The sequence below is a fragment of the Homo sapiens genome, chromosome 7 (genome assembly GCF_000001405.40).
Source record: "Homo sapiens chromosome 7, GRCh38.p14 Primary Assembly".
Classification (NCBI taxonomy): Eukaryota; Metazoa; Chordata; class Mammalia; order Primates; family Hominidae; genus Homo; species Homo sapiens.
This window is the reverse complement of record NC_000007.14, coordinates 158,899,129-158,925,161: the sequence shown is the minus strand read 5'-3', so window position 1 is coordinate 158,925,161 and position 26,033 is coordinate 158,899,129. Positions and strand designations below refer to the sequence as shown.

At 44.3% G+C, this 26,033-nt stretch overlaps 1 protein-coding gene across 29 annotated transcripts in view, besides 2 other annotated features; it reads right to left on the bottom strand.

Annotated features, from left to right (window-relative positions):
- DYNC2I1 (dynein 2 intermediate chain 1) overlaps nt 1–26,033 on the bottom strand; it is a 119,454-nt gene that overhangs the window by 33,537 nt on the left and 59,884 nt on the right. For 22 of the 29 annotated variants that reach the window (XR_007060058.1, XR_007060061.1, XR_007060060.1 and 19 more), the window contains 9 exons: nt 23,346–23,423; nt 22,567–22,786; nt 19,071–19,173; nt 13,483–13,612; nt 12,066–12,177; nt 10,841–10,929; nt 6,293–6,422; nt 2,613–2,785; nt 1,429–1,591 (listed from right to left, as the gene is read on the bottom strand). Coding sequence is in view for 21 of the 29 variants with exons in the window: in XM_047420560.1 (XP_047276516.1) it covers nt 1,429–1,591; nt 2,613–2,785; nt 6,293–6,422; nt 10,841–10,929; nt 12,066–12,177; nt 13,483–13,612; nt 19,071–19,173; nt 22,567–22,786; nt 23,346–23,423 (1,198 nt within the window). In the remaining 8 variants the exon portion in view is untranslated. Of the gene's footprint in view, nt 1–1,428; nt 1,592–2,612; nt 2,786–6,292; nt 6,423–10,840; nt 10,930–12,065; nt 12,178–13,482; nt 13,613–15,423; nt 17,863–19,070; nt 19,174–19,878; nt 20,003–22,566; nt 22,787–23,345; nt 23,424–24,897; nt 25,017–26,033 lie in introns of those variants that run through there. The other 7 variants (NM_001350918.2, NM_001350917.2, XR_007060063.1 and 4 more) reach the window with 7 other exon arrangements.
- Nucleotides 13,804–15,003: an enhancer, noted in NCBI's record as "BRD4-independent group 4 enhancer chr7:158702850-158704049 (GRCh37/hg19 assembly coordinates)". NCBI's record gives its function as "activates an origin of replication core promoter dependent on BRD2, P300/CBP, MED14 and CDK7 cofactors, and independent of BRD4, by STARR-seq in HCT116 cells {active_cell/tissue: HCT116}" and the evidence as "EXISTENCE:reporter gene assay evidence [ECO:0000049][PMID:35650434]".
- Nucleotides 13,900–14,553: an enhancer, noted in NCBI's record as "H3K27ac-H3K4me1 hESC enhancer chr7:158703300-158703953 (GRCh37/hg19 assembly coordinates)". NCBI's record gives its function as "activates a minimal SCP1, AML or CMV promoter by ChIP-STARR-seq in naive H9 embryonic stem cells {active_cell/tissue: H9 hESC(naive)}" and the evidence as "EXISTENCE:reporter gene assay evidence [ECO:0000049][PMID:30033119]".

The following is a 26,033-nucleotide window of genomic DNA, read 5'->3' as shown; positions in this document are numbered from 1 at the left end:
ATTTGGTTCCTCTGACTCATGGTCTGAATCAGAAGTTCCACAGCTCCTCACTACTGGGAGTTTATTTAAAACTTTGTAGGTTTTATTGATAATATTTCAAAGACAAGGCCGGGTGCGGTGGCTTATGCCTGTAATCCCAGCGCTTTGGGAGGCCAAGGAGGGCAGATCACCTGAAGTCAGGAGTTCAAGACCAGCCTGACCAACATGGAGAAACCCCGTCTCTACTAAAAATACAGAAATTAGCCGAGCACTGGTGGTGGGCACCTGTAATCCCAGATACTCAGGAGTCTGAAGCAGGAGAATCACTTGAATCCAGGAGGCAGAAATTCCAGTGAGCTAAGATCGTGCCACTGTACTCCAGCCTGGGCTACAGAGCCAGACCACATCTCAAAAAAAAAAAGAAGGATGTATTTTAATGGAATAATTTATTTGTATGTACAGTCTAGAGATTTACTGTTTTTGAAAACGGTGCTGAATTCAAAAATTTTTTAGTAATAGCAGCAGCAGTTAGAAAAGGCAAAGATTATTTATTTAAAAGATATCTTTTAAAATAGCATCGCAACCCATAAGTTGCGATAAATTCAAACAGCCTTAACAGTAAGTAGTAGTATTGCCCCACACAGAGGGGCACAATTCATGGTTGGGGAATTTAAAAAGTGGCCCTCTTATGTACAATGTACAGATACACATGTCAAACACAGACAGACACGCAACATATCTATGATAATAAAGCCACACAGAGGGGTGAGTGATGACCTCGGCCTGCACCTTCAGTCCACAGCGCCCCAACCCCTACGGGAAGGGGCGGTGCAGGGCGTGGCATGGGGTCCCAGTGCAGGCCCGACCATGTCGTCAGCGTGACCTTGGATAAACGCGGCATCTTCCTGTGGAGCTAGGATACAGGGCTATCAGGGGAATTAAATGAGACAATGTACACTACACACTAGGGCGAGTCCCAGAACACAGGGAACACTTATGCCAGGTGCCTACTGTGGTGGCTGGGCACGGCATAGTATGAATGTCCACCCGAGTCAAGCCAAGGCTCAGGGAGGCCCAATTGTGCTGGTTCCTGGCAGCCCTCAGGGTGACTGGCTTTGCTCACGTGAGTGTGAGCTATCTTTGCCCTGAAGAACACCCATGCCAAGATGCCTCAAGCTACTTTAAAACTAAAGGTAATTTCATTGAGGATTTTTTAGAATCCACAAATTTATTAAGAAAGGAAATTCAAGTCATTCTTGGTCACTGGATAATCATGATTGGAATTGATTTCTGTTTTTTGTATTTATCAAATGCCTCTTTTGCCCATGGGTCAGACCCCGTCCTCTGGGATAATGTGAATAAATAAATGCAAATCCATGTAAAGCTTTGTTCCTCAAATCCGTGTGGCTTTTCTAGCAGACACACAATTGGCAGGCAGATGACACTGACCGGTGGAAAACGTGGCGGTCCGGAACGTCCAGAAGCCATCGCTCAGCGTCACAGAGTAATGCAGCCTTGAGTCTTCTCTCAAATCCCAGACGACAACTGAGCCGTGCGCTGTTCCGGCAAACAGTAAAAATGCTTTCAAAGGGCTCAAGCAGCAACACGTGACCTAAAAGACAAAGGCACAGAAAGCCAATGACAGAAGAATATGAGAAGCATGCTAACACAAGCTGCATTTACTGAGTGGGGTGTCTGACCATGTTTCACTTTGCACGGGAGTCACCTGCAGGGCCCAGTAAGCAGAACGTAGACTCCTGCACAGAAATAAAAGGTGGCTTGTCAGGTTCCTGAAATGGAGAATAGGGATGAGAAACCCACCCCGTAGGCTTGTTATGATCACAAACGCAAGGTGCTGACACTCATCTGGTCACACAAAGCCTGCCGGGAGCCTGTCCACTCAGCTCAATCGGCTGAACCTCAGAAGTAGCAGTTCCATCCTGCGCCATTTTATTTACATCTTGTATTACAAAAGTTACAATTTCAAGTTATTCTTCTCTACAGCTTTTGTGGAAATCAATGGGTTTGAGGCCAGGGAATACATAACTAGGAAAATACAAATGCACATTTTCCCAAACATAAGAGAGGCAGCCCTGACCCCTCACCGCACAGTCCTCAAGCCTCGGTGCCAGCCTCCTGGGCGGTGAATGGGAGGCCTCCAGAAGGGCTGTGAGCGACAGCACACTTCAACACAGTCTAAGAAACCTCAGTGCAGTTGAAGAAACCTCCATGCAGTCTAAGAAACCTCCACGCAGTCTAAGAAACCTCTAAAACACTCAGGACCAAAACAGTGCAAGGCAAAAACACAGGCATCTAGGGCCCCAGAGCTACACCCAGCATGGTGAGTATTTTCATTCAGCCTACAACCACCTCCATTTCCTAATTCTCAGCTGACCCAAAGGGCTGCTCTGTGAAAATTCTCGTTTGCTCATTCTGAACTACAAGCACACCCATGTGTCTCGCTGCACCCACAGCACAGCTGAGGCCAGCTGTGAGAGACAGAGAATGGCCCATAAGTCCCTACCCACCTCCTGTCCCTGCACCTCTCTCCGTGACTCTCCCCACCTGCACCTTCACGCTCTGTCCACTGCCCATCCTCCCATCAAACGTGCGACTCTCATCCTGAGCTGTACCTGGGACTCACATATCAGAACTTTCTGTGGCCCTGAAGGCTGCCAAATATCCCACACACAGAGGACGTATTTGCTGTCCAGCAGGGGCACAAAGCTCTTCTCGGGTAAGTCGTGAACGGAGACCACCATCTGCCTCTGAACTCGGGAGGTGTGCAAGGAGGATACTTTTCGATCTAGGGAGAAGAAAAATATGTTCACATTTCAACGACCTGCCAGAATCCAAGTTAAATTTAACACACTTCCGAATACTCAAAAAAAAATTCAGCTTCATGAAGAAACAAACGTGGTCCTTTCGAAACCAACATACATGAAACGTAGGTTTTGATGAACGGCCACAGCCTATGCCCCAACACTCTGTCCAAGCTGACCTCAGAGTCTGGCTAAAATGTGGTCACATGCAGCCCAAGACACCTGTGGCTCCACGAGCGACTCCCACAGAAACCAGCTGCCCACCAGAAGCCGGGAGTCGGGATCTCAGAGCTGGGAGGTAATGCAGTGCGCCTGGCTGCCCCTCTGCTTTAGAACATTGCTAATACACCAGCTGCAGGGGCTTCAGCACTGGAACACCACGTGGCACACTGCTCTCCTCAAAGGCTGCGAGCGGCTGAGCGCCGTTCCAGACACTGCTCCACCCGGCGAGGGACTGCACTCCAAGGCGTTACTGTTGCCACTGCTGGCCGTGCCGGCAGCTCTCACACATCAGCAGAAGATGGAGATGGAGCTCGTGAAACAGGAGGATAGGAAGTCCATGACTGGCGAGAACTTCAGTCAAAGAACTGGACCGCACCGCTGGCAGGCGCCAAGTCAATGTGGAAAGCAGCACCCGGCCAACCCCAGCCACACACACACCACAAACACCTATCAGCCCCTCAGTTCACATCCTGCTACCCACACCATCCATGCTTGGGTCACAACGTCCCCTCCAATTCCAGGGAACCCTCCTTCCACCTCGTCACAATCGCTCATAGCTGCAGCCTTCTGGGGCCACTTCCACCAGCAAGCGTCAGGTCTTCTTCCAGCTGCCGTATTTAATAGTTGTTTTTAGTGGGATGAGGTTCTCGAGTGCTGTGACCTGACCCCGTTTTCTCCTAAGCCCTGTGGTTTTTATTGGCAGTCTTCCACGGTGTAGCGATTTTTAGGAACGTGTACCTCCTGTTACAGCGGAACTATGATATGGCAACCAACGCCTGACCCATCGCTGCCCCGACCTCACCTCCCACTGTCCACCGTGGTCTCCTCGCTTCTACCCAAGACACAGGTGTGCCCACCGCTCAGACCTGTGTGCGTGCAGCGCCTCCTCCAGAAGCTCCCATCTCCCTGTGGCCCGTCTCTCATCTCCGTCCGGTTTTCACTCACAGTGAGGCCTCCTCTATCAGAACTGTCTTTATTTTTCTCCTTAGAACTTACCCCTCTCTGATAGACTGTGTGTTGACCTGTTTAGCCAGTGCAGAGCCTACTTGACCCAGCGAAACACAAGTTCAGGAGGGCAGAGTTGCTGTCGTCCTACTCACTGCTGAACTGCAGCTCCCCGACAGTGCCCAGGGCATAGCACCCGCTACAGAACATTTGTCAAGATGAACGACCTGCTGGCTGCGTCATTCTGCCGCGTGTTTTAATAGAGATGAGGACGACCCGCTGGCTGTGTCATTCTGCCGCGTGTTTTAATAGTGATGAGGGTACTGGGTGGACCCTAGGAAGGCTGAAGTATCTCTACATCTGATCACAGATCAGAATCTAATGTGAGTCAAATTCTGGATTCGCAGGGTGAGACAACCCACACACTCCGTCTCATGCCTCTCTTGCAGTCTCATATTCCTTCTGCTATCTCAATATTCATTTTACCAGAACACAAAACTAAGCAAACAAGACCCTCCACTCCTTGAACATGTGGGAAGTGCAACACACACACACTTCACGAGTTCCCCAACGGAGGCCACACACTGCAGTACACACATGCACTTCACGTGTTCCCCGACAGAGGCCACGCACTGAAGTACACACATACACTTCACGAGTTCCCCAACAGAGGCCACACACTTCAGTACACACACACACTTCATGTGTTCCCTGATGGAGGCCTGGCGCTGCAGTATGCACACATACTTCACGTGTTCCCAGATGGAGGCCACACACTGTGGTACACACACGCACTTCACGTGTTCCCCGACGGAGGCCACACGCTGTGGTACACACACACACTTCATGTGTTCCCTGATGGAGGCCCGGCGCTGCAGTATGCACACACACTTCACGTGTTCCCCGATGGAGGCCACACGCTGTGGTACACACACACACTTCATGTGTTCCCTGATGGAGGCCCGGCGCTGCAGTATGCGCACACACTTCACGTGTTCCCCGACGGAGGCCACATGCTGTGGTACACACACACACTTCACATGTTCTCTGACGGAGGCCACACGCTGTGGTACACACACACACTTCACGTGTTCCCCGACGGAGGCCCGGCGCTGCCATACACACACACACTTCACGTGTTCCCCGTTGGAGGCCACACGCTGTGGTACACACACACACTTCACGTGTTCTCCGACGGAGGCCACAGCGCTGCAGTACACACACACACTTCACGTGTTCTCCGACGGAGGCCATGGCACCACTGCCGCTCTCATGCATCTGCTGTCACTGCTCAGTGTCGGCTCCCTGGGGGCGGCGCACACTCGGTTCCCTTCTTGGTGTCTGCTGGGTGTGGGAGTGTGGATGCCAATGTGTTGAATGATACAGGTACAGAGATTTATTATTTTTCTAACAGGAAAAGACAAAACCCTCTCAAAGAATGTGAAGACTTGTTAAATTAACAATGCCATTTTTGTTAACGTTAAAAGACAGAGAAATGTAAATAAACTGAAATCTCTAAATAGCAGGCAGGACGGAAGAAATGCCTGGAACAGTGGCACCAACTGCTCTGGTCTCACACGTGCCCCGAAGCACGTTTACCCTGCAGCACACCCGCACCTGCTACCAAGCAGACGGCCACACGGACCACCTCTGCTGGTTCTCCACAAAAACCGGGACCATGGCTGCCCTCCGGTACCCGACAGCCACTTTTTCAGAGACAAAGAGGTTACTAGCTCAAGAAATTTCAGTTTGGTCTTGCAAATGCAGTTTGTCTGAACTGATTAAACAGTTACATGCAACTGTACTTTCTGTTTGAGATCCTGGGCTTTGCTTCCCGTTTTATGTTCCATAACCACGGATTGACCTAAAAATCTAAGTCTATCTACACTAAATGTTAAGCGTCTTGCTTGTAACTATATCTAAACTATTAACACAACTTTGATCTGAACACTCTCTCATGCTCGTCCAACTATTTCTACTACTCTATCTCAAGAAAAGAAACTGAATAACTGGAAGAGAAAAGAAAACAGGATTTCAAACACATAGAAAATCTCAGTTCCCATTCATTCAAACAATCTCACATGTTTAAATTACTGTGGATCCCTCTTCTATTCATCTTACTAAAATCCTTAATCACAAATTTAACATGCACACTTAAGAGGGAAAAACCACTCACTTTTGAATTCTGCAGAAACTCAGTCTTTCTCAGTTTTATGTACATTAAACCCCATCACATTAAAATAAAATATTATACTACAGAGTATTATTTCAACATGAATGTTTAGTCACTGGATTTAAAATCATATTTGAGAACAGCCTCTTACTTTGAAGGAATGGTAGACTGGTGTTCAGCTGAGATGAGCTGTCACTAAAATACAGGGCCCTGTCTTGAGCCCTAAGATTCCAGCTGGGTTCAGCTGCCAAGCGATCCTCTTCCAGCAAAACGGCCATCACCTGTCAGACATAAGTGAGTAGTCTTTAATAAAAACTTCACAATGGATTATCTTTTCCAAAAAAAAATTACCTTTTCATCTTATCCATATCTGCAAATAACTGCTTAGATCCATGACGCTATCATAACTACAAGAAAAACGATACGGTCCTTTCTGCTCAATACTGAAAACTAATACAGTAAGATTAACTAAAACTCCACAGGAGAATCATCATTTGCCCTGAATGTTGTTTTTCACACCACATACACTGCTAAAAATCACAGTGGGAGAAAGGGGGCTGGGTATCCAGCATTCATAAATGAACAAAGCAGTGTAAAGAGCAGTCATGAACCCACCGAGTCTCTCTCACTGGGTTTTGGTAAAAAGCCAGAGTGAGTGGTAAAACACTGTCATTGTTCCAGGAGGGTCATCCTTAGGATTTGACAGGGCAGAAAGAGAAGATTGGGAGACAAAACAGGATTGATGGAAAAAGAACTGGAAATGTTCCTGAGAACTAACACAAGGAAAGTGAGGAAGGCAGAGAGTGTTGAATGAGAAGCAACAGGATTTGTGCGAGGAAGAGGGAGCTGCGTAGTGAGAATGGAGGCCAGGAAGTGTTCATTGGGAACTGACATGACCCGGGAACACTCAGGGTCAGGACGGCCGGGAATACTGAGTGAGAAGTGACAGAATATGGGAGGGCGGGAGGCAGGAAATGTTGAGTGAGAGCTGACTGTGTGAGAGTGAGGAAGGCAGAAACAGACAGTGAAAGCCAACCGTATGGGAGTGAGGAAGGCAGAGAATGTTTCATGTGAACTGACAGAACGGGAGAGTGAGAGACAGGAAATGTTGAGTGAGAATTGATAGGATTCGTGTGAGAAAGGGAATGTGTAGTGAGGACTGACAGGATGGGTGTGAAGAAGGAAGAAAATGTTAATGAGAACTGACAGGAAGAGAGTGTGGAAGGCAGGAGATTTGAAGTGAGAAATGACAGGATGGGAACGGGCAAGAAAAGGAGTGTTTAGTGAGAGGCAGAGGGTGGAGTGTGGAGGGCAGGGGGTGTTTAGTGAGAGGTGGAGGGTGGAGTGTGGAGGGCAGGGGGTGTTTAGCGAGAGGCGGAGGGTGGAGTGTGGAGGACAGGAGGTGTTTAGTGAGAGGTGGAGGGTGGAGTGTGGAGGGCAGGGGGTGTTTAGCGAGAGGCGGAGGGTGGAGTGTGGAGGACAGGAGGTGTTTAGTGAGAGGCAGAGGGTGGAGTGTGGAGGACAGGAGGTGTTTAGTGAGAGGTGGAGGGTGGAGTGTGGAGGACAGGAGGTGTTTAGCGAGAGGCGGAGGGTGGAGTGTGGAGGACAGGAGGTGTTTAGTGAGAGGCAGAGGGTGGAGTGTGGAGGACAGGAGGTGTTTAGTGAGAGGTGGAGGGTGGAGTGTGGAGGGCAGGGGGTGTTTAGTGACGTCTCACAATCATCCTTAATTTCAACCAGCATGTCGACGTTTCACAATCATCCTTAATGTCAACGAGCGTGTCAACATTTCACAATCATCCTTAATCTCAACCAGCGTGTCGACGTTTCACAATCATCCTTAATGTCAACCACGTGTCAACATTTCACAATCATCCTTAATCTCAACCAGCGTGTCGAGGTTTCACAATCATCCTTAATGTCAACCAGCGTGTAGACGTTTCACAATCATCCTTAATGTCAACCAGCGTGTCGACGTTTCACAATCATCCTTAATGTCAACCAGCGTGTCGACGTTTCACAATCATCCTTAATGTCAACCAGCGTGTAGACGTTTCACAATCATCCTTAATGTCAACCAGCGTGTAGACGTTTCACAATCATCCTTAATCTCAACCACCGTGTCGAGGTTTCACAATCATCCTAAATGTCAACCAGCGTGTAGACGTTTCACAATCATCCTTAATGTCAACCAGCGTGTCGACGTTTCACAATCATCCTTAATGTCAACCAGCGTGTCGACGTTTCACAATCATCCTTAATGTCAACCAGCGTGTAGACGTTTCACAATCATCCTTAATGTCAACCAGCGTGCAGACGTTTCACAATCATCCTTAATCTCAACCACCGTGTCGAGGTTTCACAATCACCCTAAATGTCAACCAGCGTGTAGACGTTTCACAATCATCCTTAATGTCAACCAGCGTGTCGACGTTTCACAATCATCCTTAATGTCAACCAGCGTGTCGACGTTTCACAATCATCCTTAATGTCAACCAGCGTGTAGACGTTTCACAATCATCCTTAATGTCAACCAGCATGTAGACGTTTCACAATCATCCTAAATGTCAACCAGCGTGTCGACGTTTCACAATCATCCTTAATGTCAACCAGCGTGTCGACGTTTCACAATCATCCTTAATGTCAACCAGCGTGTCGACGTTTCACAATCATCCTTAATGTCAACCAGCGTGTAGACGTTTCACAATCATCCTTAATCTCAACCACCGTGTCGAGGTTTCACAATCATCCTAAATGTCAACCAGCGTGTAGACGTTTCACAATCATCCTTAATGTCAACCAGCGTGTAGACGTTTCACAATCATCCTTAATGTCAACCAGCGTGTCGACGTTTCACAATCATCCTTAATGTCAACCACCATGTCGACGTTTCACAATCATCCTTAATGTCAACCAGCGTGTCGACGTTTCACAATCCTTAATCTCAACCAGCGTGTCAACGTTTCACAATCATCCTTAATCTCAACCAGCGTGTAGACGTTTCACAATCATCCTTAATGTCAACCAGCGTGTCGACGTTTCACAATCATCCTTAATGTCAACCACTGTGTCAACGTTTCACAATCATCCTTAATGTCAACCAGCGTGTCGACGTTTCACAATCATCCTTAATCTCAACCAGCGTGTCGACGTTTCACAATCATCCTTAATGTCAACCAGCGTGTTGACGTTTCACAATCATCCTTAATGTCAACCAGCGTGTCGACGTTTCACAATCATCCTTAATCTCAACCAGCGTGTAGACGTTTCACAATCATCCTTAATGTCAACCAGCGTGTCGACGTTTCACAATCATCCTTAATGTCAACCAGCGTGTCGACGTTTCACAATCATCCTTAATGTCAACCACCGTGTCGAGGTTTCACAATCATCCTGTCAACCAGCGTGTCGATGTTTCACAATCATCCTTAATCTCAACCAGCGTGTCGAGGTTTCACAATCATCCTTAATCTCAACCACCGTGTCGAGGTTTCACCATCATCCTTTATCTCAACCACCGTGTCGAGGTTTCACAATCATCCTTAATGTCAACCAGCGTGTCGACGTTTCACAATCATCCTTAATCTCAACCAGCGTGTCGACGTTTCACAATCATCCTTAATGTCAACCAGCATGTCGACGTTTCACAATCATCCTTAATGTCAACCAGCGTGTCGACGTTTCACAATCATCCTTAATGTCAACCAGCGTGTCCAGGTTTCACAATCATCCTTAATCTCAACCACCGTGTCGAGGTTTCACAATCATTCTTAATGTCAACCAGCATGTCGATGTTTCACAGTCATCCTTAATGTCAACCAGCGTGTCGAGGTTTCACAATCATCCTGTCAACCAGCGTGTTGACATTTCACAATCATCCTTAATCTCAACCAGCGTGTCAAGGTTTTACAATCATCCTTAATGTCAACCAGCATGTCGAGGTTTCACAATCATCCTTAATCTCAACTAGCGTGTTGAGGTTTCACAACGTTCCACTCTTCAGTGCTGCAGTAGACTCAAGTGCTGAGCTTACATACAAGAAAGTGATGAGACAGCTGGCGAAATGTGAATGCCAACTTCATATCTGACTGCATTATAAGTTATTACTAATTACTCTTTTAGACATTCTCTGCTTTTTGAGATTCATACTGAACTGTATTTGGAGGCAAAGTTAGATGATTGGGATTTGTTTCAAAATAACTGATGGGGTGGGTGGTGGAGTGGGCAGGGGGGTCAGACGAGACCCACAGCCATGAGGTGATAACCACTAAAGTACCTGTAGCTTCACAGGACTGTTCCATGTCTCTTTGTATGGATTTTTAAAATTTTTCAGTTTATAAATCAGCTTGTAAAATCAGAAGTTTAATATTTTCAAATACCCTAGATTTATGCTTGCCTTGCCAACTTCGTGTCTGCTAGTCTATAGTTGTTTTAAAATGTAAGAAATTAATAATAAAATTCACAATCCAAATACACACATAGTACTTCAGTGATATACATTTACCCAGGGTCATTCTGCCCACAAGGGCTTAATGAATGTACCACTGATAATTTGTAAGAAAATAATACTTGAAAATGAATAACTGATTCTGATTTATCCAAGCTACAAAGACTTTAAGATCTTAAAAGCTCCTATGTTTCTATGTAGAATGAAACTTTAAGCACTTACACAGAGAACACAACATATATAGGTTGAGTATACCTGACAAGCAGCCCGCAGAAAGCTACATAACCTTGGAGTATCAATCTTTGGCATAACTACAGCATCAGAGGTATCTCTTTGTTCACTGCCTAAAAAAAACAGTTTATATAAAATCAACGAAGTCGACTCTAAAATAATCATGCATTACACATCTTAAGAGTTCAAACAGGCCTAACAAATCAACATTAAGAGTCCCAGAAGGAAAAGACAGAAAACTTCAAGCTATACTCTCTAGATTTACTACTGTTAACTCCCCAAAACAACTGCATATTGTTTTATAGAAGTCTGTAAATGCATTTAGAAAAACATTCAGGCCAGGCATGGTGGCTCACGCCTGTAATCCCAGCACTTTGGGTGGCCGAGGCAGGTGGATCATCTGAGGTCAGGAGTTCAAGACCAGCCTGGCCAACATGGCGAAACCCCATCTCTACTAAAAAATACAAAAATTAGCCAGGCATGATAGCAGGCGCTTGTAGTCCCAGCTACTCGGGAGGCTGAGGCAGGAGAATCACTTGAACCCAAGAGGCGGAGGTTACAGTGAGCTGAGATCATGCCACTGCACTCCAGCCTGGGTGACAGAGCAAGGCTCCATCTCAAAAAAAAAATTTTTTTTCAAAGGCATCAATTTAATTATCATGTAAGTCTTAAGTTTAGGTATATTACTTTCTTAAGGTGAGGCTTACCTGAGAAAAGGGAGTAATATACATCCCTGCCATACAGAGGCAATTCCTTGAGAAAAACCAGTAAAGTATTCAACATGTAAATCGCTCCAGAGTACTTAGCAGAAACCATATATTCTAGGGACCTTCGATATAAATTGATGGAACATTTTTGCAAACTGCACTTGAAACATAAAAATTCTATATTCATGAGAATAGGCTTCCCCTAAGTTAAAAACACAGTGTGCTTCAAAGGTCCAGCGACACAGTGGTTGTTTGGAATGTGGAATCTCTCCCTCTACACAGGAATAAAATCTGTCATAAATCCTGGCAATGGCACAGACTGGGCCTCGAGAGCAGGTTTCCTCCCACTTGTAGTTCAGCAGCTCTGTGGCTGCTGGTTAGCGTTTCTTTAAAAGAAAATTGGGTACTGCTATTGTCACATGCTAACAACCATACAGAAGAGAAAGACAAAATGAAAGTGAACCAGAAAGGGAATAAGTAAAAATAAAACAAAAAAGAATGTAAAGAGAGTCAATGGTCAACACTCAAGAGCAAGATGTTACCTCCAGATACAACAGTACTTTCTCCCGGGTGCTGGGTCCACACTTCCCTGGTCTCTATTTCCTCCGTTTGAATGTCTCTTTCAACATTATCTTCGTTACACTGAACATATGCCTTAAAAACAAAAATATGCCAAAATTAACATTGGTTTCAATTTCGGAGCAATCTGTCATTACTGAAATAATAATGAGAGTCACTGTGTCAAAAGTAAGTATCAAAGCATAAAGAACAATCATGCAAAGACAACCTGTGCTTAAACGTTCGATATAGATATATACAGGTCTAATTTTCAAAAGTGTGTTCAAAAAGTCTCACCAAACGATTTCCCTTTAGTCTGAAAATACTGCCACCTCACCTGCCCACACCCTATTTTCTTAGGACATGCTGGTTTTGCAAAACTACATATATATTTCAAAAGGTACATGCTTCAGTGAAATCAGTTTTGTTACTAACAGCTTTATGATGAGGAAAACCACCAAAGATAAATAATCTACTTAAGGTCAGAGTGAATCAGCTGCAAAACCAGGATTAATATTGTCAGTGTCCGAGGAGTTCAAGGCTACAGTGAGATATGATCTTGCTACTGCACTCCATCCAGCCTGGGTGGCAGAGCAAGACCCTGTCTCTTAAAAAAAATTTAAAAATTTAAAAATTGTAAAAGCCATCAGCTTCTTCAGCTTCATCCCGTGACCTTCCTCCTTTTAAAAGGATTTTATTGAGTGTACCAACTAGACAATGTTAAGATTGGTGGTACCAGTAACAGGAATGTAAGAAAAATGTTAGATAAGACGTCTGACTTCAAAATCTTTAGAACCTTGTTGTGAAGTGAGACCATCACATAATGAATTAATGATTGGAAATACTACAGGGAAGTACAAAATTGCATGAAATAGTAAATTGTAGGAACTCTGGAATAGGAGAAAGAATTCATTGTAAGTCACTAGGAAGGGTTCACCCAGAAAACAGGCCTTGGACACTGAGGAACAGACAGGCAGGTAAGGCAGGCTGAGGCACGAGAATCACTTGAACCCAGGAGGTGGAGTTTGCAGTGAGCCAAGATCACTCCACTGCACTCTGGCCTGGGCGACAGAGTGAGACTGTCTCTAAATAAATAAATAAAACATTTGCACAGCATAAAGCTTCACTCCAAGGTCAGGACAGCAGCCATTCTGTCCCCATTCCGAGCAGATCACCCACCAGAGCTCCTGAAGGCTCTGGAGTGCCTCCGGCTTTGCCTGTGCCCGGCCTCTCGGGTGAATGGGCCCCATGTGAAGATGGGTCCCCATTTTCCCTAAGCTTGTATCCTTCACAGACCATCCCCAAGTTCTAATATTGCAGAACATTATTCAGGAAGACACAAAGTTATCCTACTAGACTTTACTTGCATTTTATCACTTAGTTAACACATCTCATACTTACCTGCTTGGTATTTTTTTTCCCAAAGTTTCTGATATACATGTCATATTCATTTACTGGTGGTAGATCCAAGAGAGAGAAAGTAAATGAAAAATCTAAGTCAATGAGCCGAAGCAGTTTTGTACTTCGCATCCTTTGAAATAAATTGGAAACAAGACAAAAATTAACTCGAATAATATACGTGGGGAAGTGTAGGGAGAACAGAAGTAAACTTAGAGTTAAATGCATGTTATTGTCAGAAACCTAGCTTCAGGCTGGGGTGAGTCTGAGATATTTAACAGCTGTTAAAAATAACTGAGTAGTAGACAGTCGTGGGAACCTGGTGTGTGACCTTGGCATTTGGTGATTCTGCTCCCCGACTGCCTCGTGTGTGTGTCACGAACCTCATGTGTGACCGTTCTAATGCGTATGCCTGAGCTAACACAAAATCAAGTCACACAACATATATGCCTGGGATGTTCCTAAGGACTAATTCATTTGACTTCAGGAGCTGACATACTGACTATGCAATCACCTGCACCATGGTCGGACCACGCAGCCAGTAAGTGTTTTGGGCCACGCTCTTTTCCAGGCCACAGCCAACCTCTGTGCTTCCCCCAGGACTTGACCTGCCTTTCACGCTCCAATCGCCCTCCGCCCACAGGCCTGACACAGCCAATCGCCCTCGGCCCACGGGCCTGAAACAGCCATTCGCGCTCCTCCCACAGGCCTGAAACAGCCAATCGCCCTTGGCCCACAAGCCTGACACAGCCAATCGCACTCCTCCCACAGGCCTGACACAGCCAACGCTCCTCGCTCACAGGCCTGACACAGCCAATCGCCCTCCGCCCACAGGCCTGACACAGCCAATCACCCTTGGCCCACAGGCTGACACAGCCAATCGCCCTGCGCACACAGGCCTGACACAGCCAATGGCCCTCCACCCACAGGTCTGACACAGCCAACTGCCCTCTAATCGTCCTCCGCCCACAGGTCTGACACAGCAAATAGTGATCGGCCCACGAGCCTGACACAGCCAATTGCCCTCCAATTGCCCTCGGCCCACAGGCCTGACACAGCCAAGTGCCCTCGGCCCACAGGCCTGACACAGCTGATGGCCCTCCAATCACCCTCAGCCCACAGGCCTGACACAGCCAATCGTGCTCCGCCCACAAGCCTGACACAGCCAATGGCCCTCCACCCACAGGCCTGACACAGCCAATCGCACTCGGCCCACAGGCCTGACATAGCCAATTGCCCTCGGCCCACAGGCCTGACACAGCCAATCGCGCTCCCACAGGTCTGACACAGCTGATCGCCCTCCAATCGCCCTCAGCCCACAGGCCTGACACAGCCCATCATGCTCCACCCACAGACCTGACACAGCCAATGGCCCTGCACCCACAGGCCTGACACGGCCGATGGCCCTCTGCCCACAGGCCCCGAAACGCCGCACCCACGTGGCTTCCTCTTGCTTCACAAACAGTTCCTTTTCCATCGCCTGTGCTGGGTTTTCCTTTCCTAAGTTTCACCCTAACATTAGTGTGCCCGGGGTCAAATCCTTAAGATATTTGTTTGTTACTCCTCACTGGGATATAAACTCGCAAGGGCAGAGATTTTTGTTTCTTTACTGTTATCGCCACACAGCCGGTGCTCAATGAATGCACAGTGAATGACCGAGTGAACGACCCGCCCAACATCCAGGTGCCTCGGCCACCGGGTCTGCTCTCTGCTCCTCCTCCTCCCCCGATCCTTCACCTCACACTCCTCCAGGTCTGCCCTGCTTCCTAGAGCACAGGCCTGCAGGAGGCTCGACCAAAACCTAGGATGTTTTATCAGAAATTCTCCCACCGGAAGGCTCTCAACTTCCATTTTCATCCCCTCGACCCTGTGCGAACGTCAAATGCCCTAGGCCATCAGATCTTTCTGTTTCACTCTACTGTCTTGAGAAATCAAGATGCAAACCTGAATGGAAACAGGGATCGCCTCCATGTTTCCCTTCTTTCCAGGACCTCGGCTCTTCAGGGCCCAGCGGCCTTGGTTGCTCCGGTATATTCAATCAGCTGGAGTGTTTTTGTTGTTTTAAATCCAACTTTTACCCTTGTTTTAGCTGGAGGATTTCTCTGATACAAGCCATTCCATCAAGAAAGTAGGACTCTGTACATATTCTTTTGTAAGATGCTTTTCTCGTATCACTGGAGCGTTTTTCATGACATTATATCCTCAGAGTATCCATCGTTTTGATACCTATATTTCATACCTGATAGAATGCTGCCTATGCAGACATTGTACCAATTTGTTTCAAGCAAGCTTTTTCTCTACATTCTCATCAGTACTGAAGTATTATCTTTTTTTTTTTTTTTTTTTTTTTTTGAGACAGAGTCTTGCTCTGTCGCCCAGGCTGTAGTGCAGTGGTGCGATCTCAGCTCGCTGCAACCTCCACCTCCCAGGTTCAAGCAATTCTCCTGCCTCAGCCTCCCGAGTGGCTGGGATTACAGGCATGTGCCACCATGCCTGGCTAATTTCTGTATTTTTGGTAGGCACGGGGTTTCACCATGTTGGCCAGGCTGGTCTCGAACTCCTGACCTCAGGTGATCCGCCCGCCTCAGTCTTCCAAAGTGCTGGGATTACAGGCATGAGCCACTATGCCTGGCCTAAGTATTATCATTTTTTAATACCTTGCCTATTCCATAAAAGAAAAATTCATCCCATTGTTTCAATATACATTTCTCTGACAGGACATATTTTCATACATTTACTGACAGCCTAATTTTTTTCTGTTGTGAATTCTCTCTGTGTCCTTTACCACCCTGGGGCCATCTGGTGAGAGACTGGGGAATAATGTAAGAGAAAACAAGCAAACACATTACTTTTCTACCTCTCTACCTTGAGCCACCGACAGGTATTTCCTGTGGCCCCAGCAGGCCGGCCATGGCTCCAGCTCCCGACCGCCCAGCCTCTCCGGCTCAGGGGAAGGGGTGGCTCCTGCTGCGGCAAATCTCTGAGCTGCTCCTGGGCCCTGCTGAAGCTCAGCTCTTCCAACACCTAAGGAATTCACTCCCTGTGTCACATCCTTCTGTTTAATACCCAAATTAGTTTTTGTTTTCCTGACTGGATCTCAAGTCTTGTATGATCTGTGCCCATTTTTAACTAGGGTTATTTAACTTTGCTTATTAAATTATAAAAACATTTTATGCATTAGGGATAATAAGTCTCTATCATATATTTTACAAATATATTTTCCCAATTGGTCAATTACCTTTAAATTTTGTCAGATTTACAGACAATTGTACCTTGCAGAAATTCAATTTTTGAGGTACATTCCAGTAATTTTTAATTTTTATTCTTTTTATTCTTAGAAAGTCCTTTCTTATCACTGAAATAACCATTTACACTAGCTATGCTCTCTTTTTCATTTTTTTTTTAAATCCATTTGGAATTTATCTTGGGTATACTATGAAGCAGGTATCTATTTTCCCTCAAATTTCAAGTTGATTTACTAAATGTATATCTAGTAGTAAAAGTGCCTCTATACTATTTCCTTACAACACACAAATGCCAGAACTCACCCCACACGCGTATAAAGTGTGGACTCCTACATTTTTCTCAAAAACTTTTTTATTTATCATCAATCCCTTTATGTTTCGGCCTTTCATTTCTTAAATTTTTCTTTTAAAATATTTAATAAAATTTTTGATCCAAAATAATCCATATAATCTACTTGTACATTATATATCAATCTAGTTAACATCCTAGGACCTAACTAGAAAACTACCAATTACTAGATTACCAGCCGGGCACAGCAGCTCACACCTGTAATCCCAATACTTTGGGAGGCTGAGGTGGGTGGATTGCTTGAGCCCAGAAGTTCAAGACCAGCCTGGGCAACATGGCAAGACACTGCCTCTACATAAAAAAAAAATAAAAATTAGCTGGGTGTGGTGGTGCACACCTGTAATCCCAGCTACTCAGGAGGCTGAGGTGGAGGGTCACCTGAGCCCAGAAGGTTAGGGCTGCAGCAAACCAAGATCATGCCACTGCATTCCAGCCTGGGTGCCAGAGTGAGACCCTGTCTCAAAAGCAGAAGACGTAAAAGAAAGAAAAGGGAAAGGAAAGGGAACGGAAAGGGAAAGGGAAAGGAAAAGGGAAAGGGAAATGGAAAGGGAGGGAAGGCAACCAATGACCCCCATCTACTTAGTGGCTCCTCCCTGACACATTCCAAGATCCCCCACTGCCCACAACAATCACTAGACTGAATTTTGTGGTTATCAGTTTCTTGTTTTTCAAAATATAATTTTATCTCATATTTATATGAGTCTAAACAACATACTGTGTAGCTTTATTTCTGAGTTTATAAAAATTGCATTAAACCATATGTAGTTTTCTGAGAACTTGAATCAGGTTTAAAAAAAAAAAAAAAAAAAAAAAAAGAAGGCCATGGGGCCAGAAACCAGTTTTGCTACCTCCACAGGAGAACCAAAATATAAAGGCAGCAAAACTGCTGTGAAAACTGTCACCTTTATTAGTTTTTTTTTTTTTCTTTTTTGAGACAGGGTCTCGCTCTGCCACCCAGGCTGGAGTGCAGTGGTGCAGCCACAGCTCAGTGCAGCCTCAAGGCTGGAGTGCAATGGTGCAGTCACGGCTCAGTGCGGCCTCGACCTCTCAGGCTCAAGCCATCTCCCACCTAAGCACTCCCCAGGAGCTGGGACCACAGGTGCGTCTCGCTATGCTGCTCAGGCCCTTGAACTCCTCCTTGCTCAGGCTCTTGAACTCCTGTGCTCAAAGTGCTGGGATTATAGGCATATACCACCATGCCCAACCACTTTTATTATTAATGATTGATTTTTTCATTTAGTAAATATTTATTGAGTACTGACTAAGGAAGGCCATATACTGAGCTAGGTGATAAGAGATTTTAAATCCACTTTTAAAAATCTTTATTTTTTGGCCAGGCATGCTGGCTCATGCCTGTAATCCCAGCACTTTGGGAGGCCAAGGCAGGTGGATCACCTGAGGTCGGGAGTTCGAGACCAGCCTGACTAACATGGAGAAACCCTGTCTCTACTAAAAATACAAAATTAGCCAGGCGTGGTGGCGGCCACCTGTAATCCCAGCTACTCAAGAGACTGAGACAGAAGAATCACTTGAACCCGGGAGGCAGAGGTTGCAGTGAGCCAAGATCGTGCCATTGCACTCCAGCCTGGGCAACAAGAGTGAAACTCTGTCTCAAAAAAATAAATAAATAAAAATATTTATTTTTTTCATTTACTCCTCAGTCATATTTGGGCTTAGTATAATAGACCCTTGACTTTAAAATATATCTTTTATAGATTTCTAAATTTTACAAATTTCTCGATTTACTCCCAGGGTAGCTCCAACTGTCCGCCACAAATCTAAGAACAAACATCCAACATCAGCACATGGTACGTAGCGGCTCACACACCTGCTCTACTAACATAAGATCTCAACACAAAAGTGTAGTACAAATTAAGTCATACACCCCAAAAAACAGTAGTAAAAATGCATTTTAAAACTCGATTTTTTAAAAGTATGTGAAAGAAAAGTTAAGCTAAAACCCTGAACACCTTTGGCTGCTTTCCCAATACACCTACTTTTGCTTAAGGGCCTGAGTCCGACTCTTTTGACGGTGTGAAGCTGAGGCAAAATCCACAAAAATTCCACAAACAGAGGCTCTGGAAGGGGAACTGTTTGTATCTGTGTGAGGGAGAAAAACACTATTTTTCCAACACGGAAATATGTCTTCCAAGCAAAAAAATATCTGGAGTAAAACAATTATAGGCATATATAACAATTATAGTCAATAAACCCTTCAACTAATGACAAACATCTTTCATAAGCATTTGAGAGACCTCTCTTGATTATTTCATCTAAAACTTTCAGGCAACAAAGCAAAATTTACTGATCATCTATTGTATGTGCCACTCACACTATTAAAGAGTTTTAGAAATACTTAAGAATGCACAAAAGATGCAGTTCTAAGCCCCCATCCCGCCCATTCTGCAAAAAAAACAAAGATTATCTTTTAGTAAGGGAAGTGGAACAAGGACATACAAAATTGCTAAAAAACAGAAACAAGTGCAAATTAATATTGAATCAATTACTTAATATGTCAAAGGGCACGAAACAAAAGAGAATGAAGGCATGAGCTTCCTCAGAAGCTCTAAAATTTCTGAAGATGTGATTAGATTATTGAATTGTCAGGCTGATGGAAAAGGTTCATATTATATAAGAATGAACAACTTGGCCAGATACGATGGCTCATGCCTGTAATCCCAGCCCTCTGGGAGGCCGAGGCAGGCGGATCACTTGAGGGCTGGAGCTCCAGACCAGCCGGGCCAACATGGCAAAACCCCGTCTCTACTAAAAATACAAAAATTAGACAGGCATGGTGACGAGCACCTGTAGTCCCAGCTACTCGGGAGGCTGAAGCAGAAGAATCGCTTGAATCCAGGAAATGAAGGTTGCAGTGAGCCGAGATCATGCCACTGTACTCCAGCACGGGAGACATAGTGAGACTCTGTCTCAAAAAAAAAAAAAAAAAAGAAAAAGAAAGACAAGAACAAACAACTCCATCCCCAATCCTTTGTAATGGACACAAGTCATTCCTCAATCCACCTCTTCCCCCTAAGGATTTCGGTGGCTTCTTGTACATACTTACCTGTGTATTTATTTGTTTGTATATTTATTTCTACTGCATCTTATCGTCTTTTCATTCCTTTTGGATATTGGTTTGCACTTGCCCTCCCGTCTTACGGTTTTATGAAACTCAGAGCCCTTTCCCACACATTATCTCATCTGATCTTCACAACAAAGCTTTACGGCCAGCAATGCAGAGGGTGTGGCTCTGGAGGATGCCTGTCTGGGTCAGGGGCCTGAGCTCAAGTCCCAGCACTGTCCGCTACTTGCTTCATGACCATGGGAGGTTACCTCATCTCTGCATCTCAGTTCCCTTATTGCTGGACATCTGCCGTACAGGACTGTGATAAGGACCAGACCACAGGAGGCCACATTTATGAGCAATTAGAAAGCACCACACAGACATTATAAGATGTGACTGTTTTTAAAAATGAGAAAACGTTTAAAGTTACAGAATTAAGACTTGAATAAAGACATCCCTGGAGCAGAGCGCACACCTCTGTGCAAGTCATTGGCGCTCAGCAAAGACTCCTTCACTGACCAAGTGGACCATTTACCTTTTGGAAGTGTACAAAGGCTTTCAAACGCCATGGTGTAACTTTAGTGCACGGGAAAAAGTTATTTACCAAACGGTTTCTTACTGCCCTAAAAAAGGATAAGGCGTGCAGTTTATAACCAAGTAGTCCAAGCACCACAGGGTGTGGCAGAGTACAGCCAAGGAGGACACAGAAAACAAACCGGTGCTTAGCACTCAGAACGTGCCTGGCACTCCTTTAAGCACCTTCCATGTTTAGCTTGCTTAATTAATCTTCACAACAACCCTAAAGAAAGTCTGACACTCATTTCACAGTTAAGGAAAATGAGGCACAGACAGGTTAAGTAACTGCCCAAGATCACACAGCTAGTCAGTTATCTGAAACCCCGGAGTCAGCATGGCTCCGTGATTCCTGCTTCAGCACAGACTGTGATGTCAACACTGTGCTAGTCTTTACGACCGTCCACCTGTGCCAGCTCAACATTAAACAGGGCCAAGAAAGCAGCTCCAGCTTTACCTGGAGCAATGTGTATGACAGTGAATAACTCCTTCAAATAAGAAATATGCCAAAAATAATCTCATATTGAGAGTTGTAAATTCTAATCTTGTAAATCAGGCTAATAAAGATATAACACTAAGCATAAATGTTGAAAATGAGTAACAAAAAAAGGTTATTCAAAGATCTGCTAAGAAAACCAGTAACGTTAAGAATAAAATCCTGCTCGCGTCTCAGCAACTCCAGAGCAGACAAGCTTTAATGCTGTCAGGAAATCCTGTGTGCTGGTGGCACAAAGACCCTCCCTGTGTGCAGCGCTACCCCACGGGGAACTGAGGGAAACAGTCCCTGAGCCTCAGCCAGGCGATAGGGCTGAAGAAGGGGCAGATCCTTACCTCTACCAGGACAGGTGCCCTTTAGCTATAAGTTTAAAGAACGCTCTATCAGCACTGCCCAGCTGAGTTCTGCCACCTCTGTAGCAGGCACAAAATGTGAGACAAAGAATCATTCTGCAAAACCTTCATTTGTATTAGTGCATCATATTAATTACTAACTATAATTAACTGCATCAATTACTGAATATTTTACTAGATAATTTAAAGTAGTACGTCATCAAATAGTATTTTAATATTATCCTATTTTATCCTCAGTGCCCATGTTTTATCAGAATGTCAGTTTTCCTTTAAAGCAATTTGAAACATTAATTCCTACTCTCACAAGTAACATTATATCCTGATGCCAAGAATTTGGAGAAAAAATACATTTCTAAATTTAATTTAAAAAGGTCCTTGTAGGAAAAAAAGAATGGATCAAGAGCATGCTTCGTGTCAGGCTCAGTCCAGCTGTGTCCCAAGACTTGACAGGCACCTCAACCCCTCAGTCCCCACGTGCCTCATGAAGGCACTCATCAGTGGACACTGCCACGCCTCCAGGGAAAACCATGATGATTCCTCTGTGGAAACTCAAGGAGCACATCATCAGGAAAAATAAGAGCATGTGCTCACAGACGGATAAAACGCTGGTTGCAAAGAAAACATGAGTCAGGCTTCCCACTGAGGAGGGCCACAGCATCCTCAGCTCCCACTGAGGAGGGCCACAGCATCCTCAGCTCCCTCTGGAGAACAGGAGCATCAGTGCTCACTGAGTGGGGCCACGGCACCCTCAGCTAACCTAAGGCCTGGGTGCTGAGCAGAAAGTGACGTGCAACTTCTCTGTGTAAGAGAATTCTGGATGGGCTCGTGCTCAAGTCTTCAGGGGCCTCCTATGTGGTAGCTGCAAGGGCATGGCACCACCAGCATGTGGAAGATGTTACTGCTCCACCCACCTTATTAGAGTAGGCCTGTGTGTGACAGCATCTGTGAGGGCTCAGTACACAGAGCCCTAAGAGCACGGACACCATTAGTAGCATTGATTTGTTTACCTGTCCTGGGCTCCTTTTCAAATTCTGTTCTACCTCGCTTCTGAAACAGTTTCAAAGATAACTCGCCAATCCTTTCATTTTCTGCATTAATAGCTCTTTGAATTTCTTGTATTTCCTTTTTTTGAGCTAGAGGAAGTTCTTCCAGTTTTTCTCTTGACTCAGGTTCATTACTGCTTTCATCATCATCACCATCACAAACCTCAAAGTCATCTTCATAGTCCTGCAAACAATAATAATCTTTTGGAACCCTTTAAGACAAACTGACTTTCAATTATCCCTCATACTGAACAAAACATGACACTTTATAACTTAAAACAGACAATGTCCTTATTACAGCTAAGAAAGATATTTATAGTTCCCTGATTTTAATGTTTTTGAAGGTAAATTTATATAAACTGCTACCTTTATTTCTCTAAAAATAAATCACACAATACAGAACCATATACAGAAGACCTATCAACTATCATCACGTGCAAACATTTGTGCTGAGAATGTGAAAGTGTATGTATTTTTATAGATACCTATGTATACATCTTTTTATGCACTGCACTTAAATATGAGTTAAATTATAAAATCATTTAATTACATCATATTGGTAAGTATTAGTAGAAGTATAGCAAGCATTTTACAGGTAACAGCTTGACCTAAATCAACCTAGCCAGATATTGAGTATTAGGATTAATAAAAAGAATAAAAAGGACATCAAATTACTATATATAAGCTGATTTTTAAGAATAAATGATTTTTAAGCTAAGGAAAGTTTTAACTTTTATACATACTTCAAAATCATCTTCACAACTGGCTGTATATGCATCAGCTCTAGCATTTTCTAAATCAGTTTCTTCCTTTTCAATTTCCTAGAGGTAAAAATCAAACACAAAACCAAAAAATTCAATCATAAAATTGAATATTGCAAATAGATTGGGAAAACATATATGTTTTCTGACATTCCTTTGATGTTGCTAATTTTAAACTCTAGGTATTTGTAAAACTAATATAATGTTAAATTCCTTTAAGAAATACCCTTGCTAACTTACAGGTAGGACCAAAAAGAGAAAACAGTAAACATCCTTTTTGGGAAACCTCTATAATTCTGGTGGCTAAAAATTTTTTAAGTGTTTTACAAATAAACTTCAAATGTGCAGCAATCCATTTCTTATCCATGAATATATTCCCCGCTGAATGGTGCTCAGCTTATCTACACCATTAAAGACAGTGTAGCTGTAGTGAGCACTGTGGCTCACACCTTTAATCCCAGCACTTTGGGAGGTCAAGGCAGGCAGATTACTTGAACTCAGGAGCTGAAGACCAGCGTGGGCAACATGGCGAAACCGCATCTCTACCAAAAATACAAAAAATTAGCTGGGCATGGTGGTGTGCACCTGTGTTCCCAGCTACTCCAGAGGCTGAGGTGAGAGGACTGCTTGAGCCTGGGAGGCAGACGTTGCAGTGAGCCAAGATCGCGCCACTGCACAATCAAGAAGATATTACAAAGCATACTAGAAAGCAGAAAATACAGTTTGAAGAGACAGAGCAAGCACCAGTTCCAGACATGGCAGGGATGTTGGAATTATCAGAACAGGAACTTAAAACAACTATGAGGACATCCTAAGAGCTCTAATAGACAAAGTTGATAGCAGGCAAGCAGAGAGATGGAAAGTCTAAGAAAGAACCAGAAAGGAAAGTTCGAGGTCAAAAACAACAAAACAACAGAAACAGAAGTGAAGAACAACTTTGATGGGCTCATTAGTAAACTGGACAGAGCTGAAGAAAAGTCTCTGTGCTTGATGATACCTCAATAGAAACCCCCAAAACTGAAAAGCAAAGAGAACAAAAAGCGGGAAGGAAAAAAAAAAAAAAAAAACAGAACAAAATATCCAAGAACTGTGGGACAACTGCAAAAGGTATTCACATGTATAATGGGGATGGCAGAAGAAGAGAGAAAGGAACAGAATACTTGATACAATAATGACTGAGAATTTCTCCAAACTGATGTCAGACACCAAACCACGCATCCAGGAAGCTCATAGAACACCAAGATCAATATCAAAACATCTACACCTAGGCATCTTATATTCAAACTACAGAAAAATCACAGATAAGGACAAAATCCTGAAAGAAGCCAGATGGGGAAAAAACACTTTATCTACTGAGGAACATAGATAAGAATTACAGGCTGGGCGCGGTGGCTCACACCTATAATCCCAGCACTTTGGGAGGCCGAGGCAGGTGGATCATCTGAGGTCAGGAGTTCAAGACCAGCCTGACTAACATGGTGAAACCCCATCTCTACTAAAAACATAAAAATTAGCTGGGCGTGGTGGCACTTGCCTGTAACCCCAGCTACTTGGGAGGCTGAAGCAGGAGAATCACTTGAACCTGGGAGGCAGAGGTTGCAGCGAGCTGAGATCGCACCATTGCACTCCAGCCTGGGCAATGACAGCAAAACTCTGTCTCAAAAAGAAAAAAAAAAAAAAAAGAATTACATTCAGTTTCTCAGATACCATGCAAGCAAGAAGACAGCATAGAGAAATGTTTAAAGTACTGAGAGAAAAATATTCAGCAGCCCAAAATTACACATATACTCTATAAAATTATGCTTCCAAAGTGAAGGAGAAATAAAGACTTTCAAACAAAATTGAGGGAATTTGTTGCCAGTAGACCTGTCTTGCAAGCAACATAAAAAGAAGTTCTTCAGAAAGAAGGTGTATTAGTCCGTTTTCACACTGCTGATAAAGACATAACCGAGACTGGGAAGAAAAAGAGGTTTCATTGGACTTACAGTTCCACATGGCTGGGGAGGCCTCAGAATCATGGCAGGAGGCAAAAGGCACTTCTTGAACGTGGTGGCAGGAAGAGAAAATGAGGAAGAGGCAAAAGCAGAAACCCCTGATAAACCCATCAGATCTCATGAGATGTATTCACTATCACGAGAATAGCATGGGAAAGACCAGGCCCCATGATTCAATTACCTCCCCCTGGGTCCCTCCCACAACATGTGGGAATTCTGGGAGATAAACTCAAGTTGAGATTTGGGTGGGGACACAGCCAAACCGTTATCAGAAGGAAAATAATATAGGTCAGAAACTTGGGTCTATATAAAAAAAAGAAAAGATGGAAGAAGAAATAAGTAAAGGGAAATAACTCTTCCTTTTCTTTTCCTTAATTGATCTAACAGATAACAGTTTGTTCAGAATAATAGTAGCAAAAATGTATTCAATTACGTATGCTTAGGTATTTATCCGTGTGTGTGTATGTGTGTTTGTGTACACATATGCATAGTTAGCCCTCCTTATCTGTGGGTTCCACATCCATGGATTCAACCAACCACAGACCAAAAATATTTGGAAAAATAAAAATAAAAAATAATACAAATTTTAAAATACAGTATAACAACTATTTACATAGCATTTACATTGTATTAGGTTTTATAAGCAATCTAGAGATGACTTAAAATACATGGGAGA